Source organism: Homo sapiens, chromosome 9 (genome assembly GCF_000001405.40).
Source record: "Homo sapiens chromosome 9, GRCh38.p14 Primary Assembly".
NCBI lineage: Eukaryota > Metazoa > Chordata > Mammalia > Primates > Hominidae > Homo > Homo sapiens.
Window position 1 is genome coordinate 21,267,078 of NC_000009.12, and position 17,930 is coordinate 21,285,007.

Genomic DNA, 17,930 nt, shown 5'->3' on the forward strand with positions numbered 1-17,930 from the left:
CAAGGTGGAATTGATCCAAGCTCATTTGTTATTCAAAGTGAGAGTGAGAATTTTCTCATGATAGTAAAGTCAAGGGACAGAATCTGAGAATAGGAAAGAATTTCTAAAACTGACAACTTACTTGTAAGAAAGAGCTAATGTGCCTTCAAATGAGATTTTTTTTCCTGATTTCCATTGGAGTTCTGCACCCAGATTGGCTGGCTGTACTGATTCCTTATATAACAGAATACATAGAGGGAGGGATGGAACAGGAGGCCCTTGGAGGCTGGCCAGGCTGGAGGTAAGGAACACATCCTGACCCTTTTTTCCCCACATAGCCATCCATTGCCAAAAAAAGTTAAAATGTGCCTGAGGCTGGGAGTATTTTCTCTAAGATACAAACATTAAGAAAAAGTGCTTATTCCCATACTGGGGTCAGTTCCTGACAGGAAAGAGCCTCTTTTTAACTCTGAAATGAAATCTCCTGCCAGGGACACACTTCTGCATAAGCAGAAAAGCTGCTCCTCACAGACTTGGCCGCTGTCTTGGTGCATTTTGGTCATCGGTGGCTCTCTTTTCCTGTAAATGTTTTAACAGCCTCAGAGTAAAATGGAGCCTATTGTGGAAGACTGAGTGCTGGTGGCATGGGGCTCAAAGGATTTACCAAGACAGTTGTAGGTAAAGGAAGGCAGAAAATTTATTAGGAAAATATGTTGCCAGAGAGACAACAGGCAGCCAGTGGAAGAGAAGCTGACTGCCAGGAGAGAAAGGCTTGCTGGAGATTTTATAGGATAAAATCTATGCTGTCTGTTGAAGAGGGCTTTGTGTGGTATTGATAACACAAAGGTTGCAGTGAGCTAACTTGCAGATGTCTACTGATAGCTGGGTACAGAAATATTATGAATGATTTGAGCAGGAGGACTGTGTGTCCCAGACTATAAAGAAAAGCAAGCTTGTTTTCTACCTGCTTCCTCTTTTTGCTTTCTCCTGCTCCCACCAGCCCTACTCTTTTTTCCGAATTAAGACTCCACAGAACCTGCCTTTTATTTCCCCTTTGCAAAGCTACTGTTACATCATTATAAAAGGGACATTCCCTCTTTTTCCAGAAATATTCCTAAGAAAAGAAAAACAGCCTGTTATATAAGAGTGTCTGAAAAAACTAGAACTTTCACTCAAGGTCGGCTTTAATTTGCAGTTTTGTATTCATAAGGGGAAAGTGATGGGCAAACCCCACAAGAGAACAGAAATCAGCTGTGTGAATAGGCACTGCAGGCTAATGAAGAGTGAAGAGGAGAGCACAGTGGGAATTTCTAGAGGAAGAGAAAGGAATCTAATGTGATATGGGAGTGAAAAATGGGATCCAGAAAAGCAGAGAGGAAATGGGGAAGTGGACCAGGTCTCAGAACCAGCAAAGGCTACTATGTATATTTCACTTAGTTTAGGAGACTAACTTCATATGGGAGCGTATGCTGGAATTCTGAGAGCCAGAAAAGGAACGTGCCAGGTGCCAGAATCAGTTAATAGGCATTATGTGTCTTCTGCATTTCAATCTACATGCTGCTTCTTTTCTTTCAGGTATTCATACAAACCAACATTTCCTGACTGAATGCAAATAGGACACTTCTTTGAAATGAGGAGCGACAAATTTTTAACCTTTCTAGAATTCATGACAGAATACTGTTTTTTTTTTTTTTTTAACGCTGTCTCCATTGAAAGTCAGTTACTGAATGGTAGGACACAATTCTTATGAATTTTGTAGAAAGACAAATAATATTCTCATCTACAACTGTGTGAAGAAAAATAGAAAAATACTTGCCATGTGTTAAATCCTTACACTATGGAGAATACTATGCAAACTGCTTTCAACTGCCTGCGTTCATTTAAGAATCACAACAACTATGTAAGTATTTCTAATCCTTTCTATTTATAAGAAACTGAGGCTCAGAGATATTAAGTGCTTTTTTTCAACATCACACATACATGCAAACAGAGTGAAATTTCAATGTTAAATTTTTTATTGTTATTTACAACTAATGTGTAAGCTTTGTATTGGGAATTTCTGCAATAATTTTAACTCTCTTTTGATTCCTGGATTATACACAACTCTCTCCTGCTCTCTGTATATCCTTGGTTCATGTTGTATTTTCGGCTGATTTTGACCAATCTTTTATTTTATTTTGTATTTTTATTTATTATTTACTTATTTTTTGAGGCAGAGTCTCACTCTGTCACCCAGGCTGGAGTGCAGTGACGCTATCTGGGCTCACTGCAAGCTCCGCTTCCAGGGTTCACGCCATTCTCCTGCCTCAGCCTCCCAAGTAGCTGGGACTACAGAAACCCGCCACTACGCCCGGCTAATTTTTTTGTATTTTTAGTAGAGAAGGGGTTTCACTGCGTTAGCCAGGATGGTCTCGATCTCCTGACCTCATGATCCGCCCACCTCGGCCTCCCAAAATGCTGGGATTGCAGGCGTGAGCCACCGCGCCTGGGCCCTATGTTTTGTTTTGTTTTGTTTTTTATTATTATACTTTAAGTTCTGGGATACATGTGCAGAATGTGCAGGTTTGTTACATAGGTATACATGGGCCATGGTGATTTGCTGCACCCATCAACTCGTCGTCTCCATTAGGTATTTCTCCTAATGCTATCCTTCCCCTAGCCCCCACCCCCAACAGGCTCCAGTGTGTGATGTTTCCCTTCCTGCGTCCACGTGTTCTCATTGTTCAACTCCTATTTATGAGTGACAACATGTGGTGTTTGGTTTTCTGTTCCTGTGTTAATTTGCTGAGAATGATGGTTTCCAGCTTCATCCATGTCCCTGTAAAAGACATGAACTCATCCTTTTTATGGCTGCATAGTATTCCATGGTGTATAGGTGCCACATTTTCTTTATGCAGTCTATCATTGATGGGCGTTTGGGTTGGTTCCAAGCCTTTGCTATTGTGAACAGTGTTGCAATAAACGTATGTGTGCATGTGTCTTTATAGTAGAATGATTTATAATCCTTTGGGTATATACCCAGTAACGGGATTGCTGGGTCAAATGGTATTTCTGGTTCTAGGTCCTTGAGGAATCCCCACACTGTCTTCCACAATGTTTGACCTAATTTACACTCCCACCAACAGTGTAAAAGTGTTCCTATTTCTCCACACCCTCTCCAGCATCTGTTGTTTCCTGACTTTTTTAATGATTGCCATTCTAACTGGCGTGAGATTGTATCTCACTGTGGTTTTGATATGCATTTCTCTACTGACCAGTGCTGATGAGCTTTTTTTTCATGTGTCTGTTGGCTGCATAAATGTCTTCTTTTGCGAAGTGTGTGTTCATATCCTTCACCCCCTTTTTGGTGTTTTTTTTTTTTTTTTTTTTTTTTTTTTGTAAATTTGTTTAAGTTCCTTGTAGATTCTGGATATTAGCTCTTTGTCAGATGAATGGATTGCAACAGTTTTCTCCCATTCTGCAGGTTGCCTGTTCACTCTGATGATAGTTTCTTTTGCTGTGCAGAAGCTCTTTAGTTTAATTAGATCCCATTTGTCAGTTTTGGCCTCTGTTGCCATTGCTTTTGATGTTTTAGTCTTGAAGTCTTTGTCCATGCCTATGTCCTGAATGGTATCGCCTAGGTTTTCTTCTAGGGTTTTTTTGGTTTTAGGTCTTACATTTAAGTCTTTAATCGATCTTGAGTTAATTTTTGTACAAGGTGTAAAGAAGGGGTCCAGTTTCAGTTTTCTGCATATGGCTAGCAAGTTTTCCCAACACAATGTATTAAATAGGGAATCCTTTCCCCATTTATTGTTTTTGTCAGGTTTGTCAAAGATCAGATGGTTGTAGATGTGTGGTATTATTTCTGAGGCCTCTGTTCTGTTCCATGGTTCTATTTATCTGTTTTGGTACCAGTACCATGCTGTTTTGGTTACTGTAGCCTTGAAGTATAGTTTGAAGTTAGGTAGTGTGGTGCCTCCAGATTTGTTCTTTTTGCTTAGGATTGTCTTGACTATATGGGCTCTTTTTTGGTTCCATAAGAAATTTAAAGTAGTTTTTTCTAATTATGTGAACAAAGTGAAAGGTAGCTTGATGGGGATAGCATCTATAAATTACCTTGGGCAGTATGGCCATTTTCACACTATTGATTCTTCCTATCCATGAGCATGGAATGTTTTTCCACTTGTTTGTTTCCTGTCTTATTTTGTTGAGCAGTGGTTTGTAGTTCTTGACGAGGTCCTTTCCACTTGTTTGTTTCCTCTCCTATTTCCTTGAGCAGTGGTTTGTAGTTCTCCTTGAAGAGGTCCTTCACATCCATTGTAAGTTGTATTCCTAGGCACTTTATTCTCTTTGTAGCAATTGTGAATGAGAGTTCAGTCATGATTTGGCTCTCTATTATTGGTGTATAGGAGTGCTTGTAATTTTTGCACATTGATTTTGTATCCTGCGACTTTGCTGAAGTTGCTTATCAGCTTAAGGAGATTTTGGACTGAGACAATAGGGTTTTCTAAATATATACTCGTGTCTTCTGCAAATAGAGACCATTTGACTTCCTCTCTTCCTATTTGAACACTCTTTATTTCTTTCTCTTGCCTGATTGCCCTGGACAGAACTTCCAATACTATGTTGAATAGGAGTGATGAGAGAGAGCATTCTTGTCTTGTGCCAGTTTTCAAAAGGAATGCTTCCAGCTTTTGCCCATTCCATATGATATTGACTGTGGGTTTGTCATGAATAGCTCTCATTATTTTGAGATGCATTCCACCAATACCTAGTTTATTGAGAGTTTTTAGCATGAAGGGGTGTTGAATTTTATCAAGGCCTTTTCTGCATCTATTGAGATAATCATGTGGTTTTTGTCGTTGGTTCTGTTTATGTGATGGATTACGTTTATTGATTTGCATATGTTGAACCAGCCTTGCATCCCAGGAATGAAGCCGACTTGGTCTTGGTGGATAAGCTCTTTGATGTGTTGCTGGATTTGGTTTCCCAGTATTTTATTGAGGATTTTTGCATTGATGTTCATCAGAGATATTGACTTGACATTTCTTTTTTTTTGATGTGTCTCTGCCAGTTTTTGGTATTAGGATGATGCTGACCTCATAAAATGAGTTAGGGAGGAGCCCTTCTTTTTCTATTGTTTGGCATAGTTTCAGAAGGAATGGTACCAGCTCCTCTTTGTACCTCTGGTACAATTTGGCTGTGAATCCGTCTTGTCCTGGACTTTTTTTGTTGGTAATCTATTAATTACTGCCTCAATTTCAGAAGTTGTTATTGGTCTACTCAGGGATTCGACTTCTTTTTTTTTTCAATTTTTTTTTTATTATACTTTAAGTTCTAGGGTACATGTGCACAATGTGCAGGTTTGTTACATATGTATACATGTGCTATGTTGGTGTGCTGCACCCATTAACTCGCCATTTACATTAAGTATATCTCCTAATGCTATCCCTCCCCACTCCCCCAACCCCACAACAGGCCCCAGTATGTGATGTTCCCCTTCCTGTGTCCAAGTGTTCTCGTTGTTCAATTCCCACCTATGAGTGAGAACATGCAGAGTTTGGTTTTCTGTCCTAGCGATAGTTTGCTGAGAATGATGGTTTACAGCGTCATCCATGTCCCTACAAATGACATGAACTCCTCCTTTTTTATGACTGCATAGTATTCCATGGTGTATATATGCCACATTTTCTTAATCCAGTCTATCATTGATGGACATTTGGGTTGGCTCTAAGTCTTTGCTATTGTGAATAGTGCCACAATAAACATAAGTGTGCATGTGTCTTTGTAACAGCATGATTTATAATCCTTTGGGTATATACCCAGTAATGGGATGGCTGGTTCAAATGGTATTTCTAGCTCTGATCGCCATGCTGCCCTCCGCAATGGTTGAACTAGTTTACAGCCCCACCAACAGTATAAAAGTATTCCTATTTCTCCAAATCCTCACCAGCACCTGTTGCTTCCTGACTTTTTAATGATCGCCATTCTAACTGGTGTGAGATGGTATCTCATTTTGGTTTTGATTTGCATTTCTCTGATGGCCAGTGATGATGAGCATTTTGTCATGTGTTTGTTGGCTGCATAAATGTCTTTTTTTGAGAAGCGTCTGTTCCTATCCTTTGCCCACTTTTTGATGGGGTTGTTTGATTTTTTTCTTGTAAATTTGCTTAAGTTCTTTGTAGATTCTTGATATTAGCCCTTTGTCAGATGGGTAGATTGCAAAAATTTTCTCCCATTCTGTAGGTTGCCTGTTCAATCTGATGGTAGTTTCTTTTGCTGTGCAGAAGCTCTTTAGTTTAATTAGATCCCATTTGTCAATTTTGACTTTTGTTGCCATTGCTTTTGGTGTTGTAGTCATGAAGTCCTTGCCCATGCCTATGTCCTGTATGGTATTGCCTAGGTTTTCTTCTGGGGTTTTTATGGTTTTAGGTCTAACATTTAAGTCTTTAATTCATCTTGAATTAATTTTTGTTCTGCCCTCTCTTACCACTCCTATTCAACATAATGTTGGAAGTTCTGGCCAGGGAAATCAGGCAGGAGAAAGAAATAAAGGGTATTCAATTAGGAAAAGAGGAAGTCAAATCGTCTCTGTTTGCAGAAGACATGATTGCATATTTAGAAAACCCAAACACTTCAGCCCAAAATCTCCTTAAGCTGATAAGCAACTTAAGCAGTCTCAGGATACAAAATCAATGTGCAAAAATCACAAGCATTCCTGTACACCAGTAACAGACAGAGAGCCAAATCATGAGTGAACTCCCATTCACAATTGCTTCAAAGAGAATAAAATACCTAGGAATCCAACTTACAAGGGATGTGAAGCACCTCTTCAAGGAGAACTGCAAACCACTGCTTAATGAAATAAAAGAGGATACAAACAAATGGAAGAACATTCCATGCTCATGGGTAGGAAGAATCAATATCGTGAAAATGGCCATACTGCCCAAGGTAATTTATAGATTCAATGCCATCCCCATCAAGCTACTGATGACTTTCTTCACATAATTGGAAAAAACTACTTTAAAGTTCATATGGAACCAGAAAAGAGCCCGCATTGCCAAGCCAATCCTAAGTCAAAAGAACAAAGCTGGAGGCATCACGCTACCTGACTTCAAACTATACTTCAAGGCTACAGTAACCAAAACAGCATGGTACTGGTACCAAAATAGAGATATAGACCAATGGAACAGAACAGAGCCCTCAGAAATAATACCACACATCTACAACCATCTGATCTTTGACAAACCTGACGAAAACAAGAAATGGAGAAAGGATTCCCTGTTTAATAAATGGTGCTAGGAAAACTGGCTAGCCATATGTAGAAAGCTGAAATGGGATTCAACTTCTTCCTAGTTTAGTCTTGGGAGGGTGTGTGTGTCCAGGAATTTATCCATTTCTTCTAGATTTTCTAGTTTATTTGCACAGAGGTGTTTATAGTATTCTCTGATGGTAGTTTGTATTTCTGTGGGATCAGTGATGATATCCTCTTTATCATTTTTTATTGTGTCTATTTGATTCTTCTCTCTTTTCTTCTTTGTTAGTCTGGCCAGCGGTCTATCTATTTTGTTAATCTGTCCAAAAAACCAGCTCCTGGATTTACTGATTCTTTGAAGGGTTTTTCGTGTCTCTATCTCCTTCAGTTACACTCTGATCTTAGTTATTTGTTGTTTTCTGCTAGCATTTGAATTTGTTTGCTCCTGTTTCTCTAGTTCTTTTAATTGTGATGTTAGGGTGTCGATTTTAGATCCTTCCTGCTTTCTCCTGTGGGCATTTAGTGCTATAAATTTTCCTCTAAACACTGTTTTAGCCGTGTTTCAGAGATTCTGGTACACTGTGTCTTTGTTCTAATTGGTTTCAAAGAACTTATGTACTTCTGCCTTAATTTCATTATTTATCCAGTAGCCATTCAGGAGCAGGTTGTTCAGTTTCCATGTAGTTGTGGGGTTTTGAGTGAGTTTCTTAATCCCGAGTTCTAACTTGATTGCATTGTGGTCTGAGAGACTGTTTGTTTTGATTTCCATTCTTTTGCGTTTACTGAGGAGTGTTTTATTTCCAATTATGTGGTCAATTTTAGAATAAGTGTGACGTGATGCTGAGAAGAATGTGTATTCTGTTAATTTGGGGTGGAAAGTTCTGCAGATGTCTATTAGGTCTGCTTGGTCCAGAGCTGAGTTCAAGTCCTGAATATCCTTGTTAATTTTCTGTCTTGTTGATCTGTCTAATATTGACAGTGGGGTGTTAAATTCTCCCACTATTATTGTGTGGGAGTCTAAACCTCTTTGTAGGTCTCTAAGAACTTGCTTTATGAATCTGGGTGCTCCAGTATTGGGTGCATATATAGTTAGAATAGTTAGCTCTTCTTGTTGCATTGATCCCTTTAACATTATGTAAAGCCCTTCTTTGTCTTCTTTTTCTTTTTGATCTTTGTTGGTTTAAAGTCTGTTTTATCAGAGACCAGAATTGCAACCCCAGCTTTTTTTTTTTTTTTTTTTTTTTTTTTGCTTTCCATTTGCTTGGTAAATATTCCTCCATCCCTTTATTTTGAGTTTATGTGTCTTTGCATGTGAGATGGGTCTCCTGAATACAGCACACCGATGGGTCTTGACTCTATCCAATTTGCCAGTCTGTGTCTTTTAATTGGGGCATTTTTCCCATTTACATTTAAGGTTAATATTGTTATGTGTGCATTTGATCCTGTCATAATGATGCTAGCTGGTTATTTTGCCCATTAGTTGATGCAGTTTCTTCATAGTTTCAATGGTCTTCACAATTTGATATGTTTTTGTAGTGACTGGTACTGGTTTTTCCTTTTCATATTTAGTGCTTCCTTCAGGAGCTCTTGTAGGGCAGGCCTAGTGGTGACAAAATCTCTCAGCATTTGCTTTTCTGTAATGAATTTTATTTCTCCTTTGCTTATGAAGCTTAGATTGACTGAATATGAAATTCTGGGTTGAAAATTCTTTTAAGAATGTTGAATATTGGGCCCCACTCTTTACTGGCTTGTAGAGTTTCTGCAGAGAGATGCACTGTTGATCTGATGGGCTTCTCTTTTTGGGTAATCCGACCTTTCTCTCTGGCTGCCCTCAACATTTTTTCCTTCATTTCAGCCTTGGTGAATCTGACGATTATGTGTATTGAGTTTGCTTTTCTCAAGGAGTACCTTTGTGGTGTTCTCTGTGTTTCCTGAATTTGAATGTTGACCTGTCTTGCCAGGTTGGGGAAGTTCTCCTGGGTAATATCCTGAAGAGTGTTTCCCAACTTGGTTCCATTCTCCCCTTCACTTTTAGGTACACGAATCAAACGTACGTTTGGTCTTTTCACGTAGTCCCATATTTCTTAGAGTCTGTTCATTTCTTTTCATTCTTTTTTCTCTAATCTTGCCTTCACACTTTATTTCATTAAGTTGATCTTCAATCTCTGATATCGTTTCTTCCACTTGATTGATTTGGCTATTGATACTTGTGACCAATCTTTTTTTGTTTTCTTAAAGCGTTGAGAAAGCGATTCTTTCATCCAGTTTTCCATTTTATTTTATGAAGGAAGTTTGTCAGGTTTTACTGACAATTAACATAGTACTAATCAAAATTATAATTATTGCAACTTTATATGTTATAATTTGATATTATAAAATATTAAGTATATTAACAGCTTTTCAATGCATGAAATCAATCTGCAGACATATATATTTTCAAACGGATAAACCATGCAGGTAAAATGAAATGTGATCCACTTTTTTTTTCATGTCTAACCTTATTTCTTTCCTTTATCTTAAAGGGAAACCTCTCACAACTATTTCTTATCTATTTTGTCACAGATTTCCCTTCTTTGATTCATGCTTCCACCTACTGCAATACGGTTTATAGTGATTAATTCTACCAATGCAGCTCTCACTAAGATCTCCACTGCCATTTATTTTTCTGATGTAGTGGACAGTTTTAATCCATATTTCCCCCAAGTCTATTGATTCTTCTTCTAAATACATTTATTTTCAAGACACACATTTATCACCATTAAGTCTTTCCTTCACTAATGTACAGTTTTCCACCCTTGCTTCCTTTGTGTCTCTTATATCCCCTCTCTTTAAAGGTGGAAGGTCCTCAGAATCAATTTTAGGTTCTTTTTTCCTTTACTTTTCTTTTTCCTCTCCACATGACTGCCTCTATTTTTGGGCTTTCCATTGCCAGTTATGAACCTTCAGGCATTGTATTTCTTGAAAATTGCAAATTCATATATCTGACTGGAAATACACATTTGCAATTGTATGTTTAGAAGTCAATTTATTGAGGATATTGCTTCTTTTATTTTTATTTCTGGAATGCCTAAATCCATCCTCTTCTATGAGAAATTCATTGTTTTTTTTTTCCTATCTCACATTATAGCATTTAACATAACTGATATCAATTGAGAACGATTATTGTTTATAAGTTTCTTTCCTCACAAAAATCAAAGGTACATGAGAACAGGAAATGTATTTGTTTTTTCAATTTTATATCCTGAAGGCAACATACAACATACAATCTGGTATAGAAAAATCTATTTTGACTTATAACCAATAATAGGTAACTGAATCGTATAATCTATTTTTTAATCAGGTTAAATAATCAGGCTTGGAGTTTCATTTTAAAGAATAAACAAATACAAGGAGTTTTCCATAGTAAAAATTTAATGAAAAAAGCAAAGTAATATATTGACTAAATATAAAGAACATGTATTGTTATATTAACCACAAAGTAAAAATACATGATACATGAAAAGAAGATTTTAAATAGTATAAATAGTTAAATAATTATTTAGACAAATAGATAAACAGATCCATCAGCATGATCATCCGTAAGGAACTAGTGCCTGTACAGCTGAACATGATGCTGCTTAACATTCCTGAAAACATTTTAAAATTTTGATTCAACTCATGTCATGGATATAGCAAAAATGAGAAATGGCAGAATTCATGAACGTGTGAGATGATGTATTAATCATGGAAATGTTTCTCATTTCCATGTTGAACCAGTTTTCATTCCTTCCTCCTTAATCTTTCCTGCAAGTTCGTTCATAAAGAGAAGGATCTCATGATTTCTGCTCTGACAGCCTCCCAGGAACAAGGGCTATACTTCTTCTTTGTCAGATAAAGAGTGATTCTTTGAAAGTATTTTCTCACAGCCAGGATGGAGTCCACATTCCTCAGGGGAGTCTCTTCCACTCCAACCTTCTACATCACACAGGCTTCCAGGTCATTCAGCTGCTGGTAAAGTTCAGTGTAGAATTTGTCTAAAAGGGTCGCATCCCAAGTATCAGATGAGTCCTTTGTGCTGAAGAGGTTGAAGGTCTGCTGCATCATCTCATGGAAAAGGAAGATAGCTTGAACCTTCTGGAAGTGGTTGCCATGAAACACCTGATGATGGAAAATCAAAGTCATGTCTGTCCTTCAAGTAAGAAAAAGGAGAGATTCTCCTCATTTGTGTCAGGAGTATGAAGGCCCTCCTGTTACCCACGCTGTGGGCCTGAGGCAGATCACAGCCCAGAGGCAGATGGACTTGCAGCTGAGCACCATCATAGCCATCAGTAAACTAAAGGGCAAGTCCATTGGGGATGTTTCAGATGCTACTGGGCTGGCTGAGAGAGTGACTCTGAACTCTGGATTTTAGGTTATCTGAAGACCTTATTTTGTACGTAACCTTAAATAGGGAACACACTAGTTTCTATTTTCTGAATGCCCCCTCTCTTATTTTCTATTTCTGTTTTTGTTTTCCTTTATGCTCTCTCTACAGGGCTGTAGAGCAGTTTCTTAACTACTTCTTTTTCATTATTACCTCCTCTTCTCCTTCCCCATAGTCTTTTTAGAAATGTCTCTGTAATTCAAATTCCCACTAATATTTAATAACATAGATATACTATATATCTGCTGATGTTCTATGCACACATCTCTATATATAAGCAGTATAAAGTTTAATGTTTTTATTCAATGGAGGGTTAAGAATGACTAAACATTTTAAGCTAAAAGTTAATAGTTAAATTTAAAACCCATGAATATTTAACTTAACTCCATATCTAAATTTTAAAGTGATTTTTATATAATTTATTCACTTATATAAATTGTAATGTGTCAAATTACATGACCAAATTAACAAGTTATAAAAACAAATAATAATACCTAATATAATAAAATACTTAAAAGTCATTCAAACCTGCTAAAGACTTAAAATTTAAATTATTTTTTAACATTAACTGTTAGTGCACTTAACTTTTAATTTTGCTTCATGGGGAAAACTTTTGACTTCAGTAGCTGCTAGATATTCATCCAGATATTGTCAAGATTGTTCTCTTTTCAGTGCTGAGACAATTAATGATGTGTTGAACAATATCAGTATAATTAAATAATATAATATAAAGTATTTTTAATTCTCAAAGCCCACAACACGTTCAGAATTGCTAAGGATCAGACATAAGCAACATCCACGAGATGGCAAATGACAGCACATATGTATGCAGTGGACACCTCTCATGATATGACTTAGTCATCTAGTAAACCTTGAAATGTCCTCTACTCACAGCACCCATTTGCCATAGGTTTGCAGCACTGATCTTATATACCTTTTGTGTATCTTCCATGGACTCAATGTCAATGCTTCTCATGTGATACACAAGAATACTCAATTAAAAAATGCTAAGGGATAAGTTTTTTTTCAGATAGAGTTGAGCTTTAAAGGGCCACAAACCATTGAAATAGGTAAGATTTGTTCCTGCTCCCAAGAATTAACTTATTGTTCCTTTGAGAGCAATATCATACCCAATGAGACTACACAATTGAGAAAAAATCAGTTGGATTAAAAAAATTTGTACATTAAAATTCAAATTTCCAAAGAACCTGCAAAGGTTCCAATACTAGTTGATTCTTATCTAACTAAATGAAACAATTTTTGTCCTAAATGTTCATGATGGGAGGTAAATGTGATAACATATATGGGCTGTACAATTGTTTTACATGCCATGCCAGACACCAGAGATATTTGTTTCTAATTTTCATTTTCATTGAAAACAAAAGTTGTTACTTTTGCATCCTAAAGAATGGAGACAAGAAGAAAACAAACGTGTATCTAAATGTGATTAAAATGTTAAAAGGAAAAAATATCTTAATGGAAAAAAATAATGATGAAATAGAATTTACCTACATTAATTCCAGTCACGATGGAAATTAAAGGAAGGGGAAGAGCAGAAGCAAAATTGTGGAAGAGATGTAGATCAAAGGGAGCAAATGAGCATGGGCTGGAAGAATAGTAATCATTCCTGGTCAGGGGTGTGTTTTCAGCTTTGCTGAATCCAGCCTTCACAGAGAGTCATGGGACACACACCAACCACAAGAGTTTATACATAAAAAAGGCAAAAATTTGAGAGTACAATATACTCTCTGCATAATAGGTAAGTGATGATGTACCAAGTTCTCCCTTAGTGTATAAATAAACTCAAGAGATCAATATTTTTCTTATCACATCTCTTACAAGAAACAAGGGAATTGATAATGTCAAAGGACACTTTCTGCAACCTAGTAAAGTTCGATAATAAAAATAGTGATTAAAAGGAACCAAATACCTAAATTGTTGAATGTGTTTATTTTTAGTCAGACATTGTTCTTAGCACTTACAAAATTGATGCTCCCTTTACCAATAATGAATACTCTTATTTTTCATATTAACTGAACACCTACCATGTGTCTACCCCCATTAATTCACTGGAGATATCAGTGACCAAAGAAGACTGATAGGTTCTACTGTTATTCCTATTTACAAAATAAAAAATAGAAGTATAAGGAACTATCAAATTATGAAGCCATTGTTTGAACCCAAAATCTGACTGAGCCCTCAGTTCTTACATGCTCCCAGGAATATTTCTGGTCATAAGAACTAGAGCGATTTCTAGATTGATCAATATTTTCCCAGTAGAGTCCTGCCTAGGTAATGACAGAGTCTTTCTCTTCAGCTGTTTACTAGTCTTCTTCACTGAAATTCCCCATTTGATCATGCCAACATGTTACATTACAATTAAATTGGGTCCCATTTTGCTTACACATTATATTCTAGTTTTGTTTCCTTGAGATTATATTTTATATGCTTGAATGTATTTGTCAAACACTTGGTTCATTGCAGTAAATATATTCATAAGCAATTGTTTGAAACCCTACATATTTCTACTCAGTTATTCAAATATCCATAGTGCTTTAGATTTCTACCTGTTTAGTGCAATCCTAATTAAGACTAAGTCATGATCAGGATATTGAAATGAGCTAAATTAGAACTAAACCAAGGTAAGGTGCAGAGTTCAGGGAAGGCTCATCTGGAAGGGCTCTCTAAGGAGATTAAAGGTGTGGAAATAGAAACACTTCTGGGGAAATGGGGAAGTCCAGTGCATTAGAGGAGGAGGACTGAGATGACAAAAGATTCTGAATCACCTGACTTTTCAGCTGGTTGATGCCTTTTATGTTGTAGGTCAGCTGAGTTTGCTGCTGTGTTGATTGCGCTGACTTACTTTGAGGAACTGGTAAACAAAAACATTATGCTGACACTTGGTATTACGGTAAGGAAGACTTAATTTAGGACTCTTGCAACAGATGCCAAAACTATCACAATAGGGGAGAGAGATCAATCTGAACTCAATTCTGAATATAACAAAGACAGCCTTGGATTTGTAGCCAACAAGCAGAATGAGAAAGTCTATGGATAGAAAATCACTAAGAAAATCCTTGCTAAATCAACTTAACAGAATTTTTGCCAAAGTAAAGCCAGGGCAGTCAGATATCTAGGGTACAGGAATTCTCATAAAACTGACTTAGGAAGATTCTTGCTACATCTGGACCAGGCAGAACTAAGAGTGGACTCCAAGACATGGTCTATTCAAAAAGAGAGCTCAGAGGAGCCTGACTAACATTTGGTGAAGAAGAGAGCCTTTCAGAACCCTAAAGGGATAAAGAGTAAGAGACAGAACTATCTTCTAAACACTTAAAATGGCATATGAAATTTTACATCTTTTATGGAAAAATGGGAATTTAATGATGATTTCAATTAATGAAATACACTAGTAAAAATTTAAATCATCTGTATAAGAATTTTGGACTTTTTAACTTTTATTTTGAAACAATTTTAGATATGCAGAGTTGTAAATGTAGTACAGAGAGTCCTCTATTCCCTTCACTCACTTCTCCTAAGGTTAACAGCTTACATAGCCATGGCACAACTATCAAAACTAAGAAATCAAGATTGGTGTACTAACCCTAATTAAACTTCAGACTTCACTCAGATTTCCTCAATTTTTTATTGATGTCTTTTTCCTATTCAAGGAATCTCTCCAGGATCCCATATTGCATTTCATTGTCATTTCTCTTTATTCTTCTCTAATCTGCCATACACGCTCAGTCTTTCCTGACTTTCATGACCTTGAAACTTTTTAAAGAATATTAGTCAATTATTTTTGTAGAATGCCCATCAATTTGGATGTGAGTGCATTTTCTCATTATTATATTAAAATTATAGATGTAAAAGATGAATACAATAGAGTGAATCTTGTCACATCAAGTGATATAGGAGATATATATCAATATGTTGCCTTATTACTGCTGATATTAAACTTATTCACTTGGTAAAGTTTGGATATGCCTGTTTTCTCCAATACAAAGTTGCTATTTTTCCTTTCCATACTCTTTATATTGGTAACACGTCACTAATGTGAGCTTACACTCAAAAGGAGGGAAATTAAGCTCCACCCCATGGAAAGAGAAGTATCAAAGACTTTGTTGACATGTGTTAAAGCTTCACAGTAATTTAAAAATCTTTTGGAGGGAGATACATTGAGGATATGCAGTTATCCTCATTCTCTTCAAGGCTTTGCTTATTGATTTTATGATTCAACAGTAGATCTTGCCTGTTGCAATTATATTTATGATGTTCTGACTATGATATTCTATTTTCCTCGTTCCTTGTACATTTATTATTTGAAATGCTTTTGAAAGATGGAGTTGGCCTCCCTTCCCAATAAATGTATTTATTTACTCATTACTTATATTAGTATAAACTCATGGATATTTATTCCATTCTTTATGTGATAATAAAATACTATCATTATCTATTGTGTTACTCTAGTTGTCCCAGCTTTGGCTATTGGAAGCTCATTAAGGCTGGCTTCTGTGTCCTTTTGACATGTACCTATACATTTTGTTTTTGCATACTTCTTCATCTTCTGGCACCACAAGATACTCCAGTATCCTTGTATTTCCATGACACAGACCAAGAATCAGTCATTTCTCCAAGATGTATTAATGCCTTTTATTGGAGATTGGTATTTTAGAAGACAAGATCTGAGAGCTACATGTGCTTAGCAGTACTAGGATGTCACTGCTTTTAGGTCCTCTCAGTGACAGAGATAGGAATATAAGTAGTACATATACGTATACTAATTTTTTATATACACATACCTATATTTATTTCTGTCCACACCTATATCTAAGTAAAGACTAAAGCAAACATGAGACTATACAAATATCTTTGATTCTAATCCAGCACAATAAGGTTAATTCTAGCCTTTCCATTTTCATTATTTGAAACTTCTTTTTCCAACTCTGAGATACTTGGTTTTTGTTAGTAACAATATTTTTACCTATTTACTCAAGTCTAATAATACACATAATGTTTCGGAACTACTAACTAGAATTTCTGTGAGAAACAATTCTACCAACTAGCATACAGTGTTTGTGTACAACCCTTTTGTGTTTCACCTTAAAGTATCTAGTCACCACATGGCTAGACAGAGTATTTGTCACTTTCAGAGTGGTTATGTCATACATCAATTACATTAATTTGTCATCATCTAGATTCAATCCTGGTATCTACTGCCAATGTGGTTGAGTTTTTAAAAATTTACATACAGTAAAATTCACACCTTTTGGTGCATAGTTCCACAGGTTTTAACAAATGGACAGAATTATAGTTCATTTATTTTTACCTCAAGTTTTCCTGTAACTTTAAAGGTGAACAAAAAGTTTTTGCCATTGTATACCGTGAAAATTGCCTTGGTATACAGAATCTGTTGTTTTAAATGACAGGATCTCATTCTTTTTATGGCTTTATAGTACTCCATTGTGTATACGTACCACTCTTTGCGTATTTGAGATAACAGCCATTTATCAGATATGTCCTTGAAAACATATTTCTCCCAATATGTAGCTTTTCATATTCTCTTGACAGCATCTTTTGAAAAGCATAAGTTTTTAATTTTAATGAAATCCAGTTTACAAATTTATTCTCTAATAGATCATGGATCATGTCTTTGTTGTTCTATCTAAAGTCATTGCCAAACACAAGGTCATCTAAATTTTGGCTTTTCTTAACATATTTATGATAAAGACAACTGGGTCTTATATTTTACTGACAACAACTTAGGCACATTCATTGTATTTTTTTCTTTTCTTTCTTTCTTTCTTTCTTTTTTTTTTTTTTTTTTTTTTTGAGACAGAGTCTCGCTCTGTCACCCAGGCTGGAGTGCAGTGGTGTGATCTTGGCTCACTGCCACCTCCACCTGCCAGGTTCAAGCGATTCTCCTGCCTCAGCCTCCCGAGCAGCTGGGACTACAGGTGTGCATCCGCATACCCGGCTATTTTATTTATTTATTTATTTATTTTTGTAGTTTTAGTGGAGACAGGATTTCACTATGTTGATCAGGGTGGTCTCAAACTCCTGACCTCAAATGATCTGCCCACCTTGGCCTCCCAAAGTTCTGAGATTACAGGGGTAAGCCACCATGCCCAGCCTCATTGTATTCCTTTTCTTTTAGATAGAGACTGGTTCCTTGAAGTACCTCTTCATAGCCATCAGGAAGTATTCACTTAGCTCAGAGATTTCTTCTACTGTTTTCTCCTGATTTCAATAGGTCTTCAAGTCTTTCTGCTGGTGCTGATATGCAGGGAGGAATTTCCACCAAGTGTCTCATTC

At 36.5% G+C, this 17,930-nt stretch overlaps 1 long non-coding RNA gene and 1 pseudogene across 2 annotated transcripts in view; one reads left to right on the forward strand and one right to left on the reverse strand.

Moving 5' to 3' along the window:
• Nucleotides 1–511: 511 nt before the first annotated feature.
• The window catches only part of LOC107987053 (uncharacterized), a 69,713-nt gene continuing 52,294 nt past the window's right edge, over nucleotides 512–17,930 (forward strand). Inside the window, exons 1-2 of the long non-coding RNA XR_001746634.2 lie at nucleotides 512–657; nucleotides 1,555–1,879. This is a non-coding gene — a long non-coding RNA (uncharacterized LOC107987053). The remainder of the gene's footprint in view (nucleotides 658–1,554; nucleotides 1,880–17,930) is intronic.
• Nucleotides 10,611–11,486, reverse strand: IFNA22P (interferon alpha 22, pseudogene; annotated as a pseudogene). The gene has a single exon (NR_036676.1). The product of NR_036676.1 is annotated as an interferon alpha 22, pseudogene (transcript).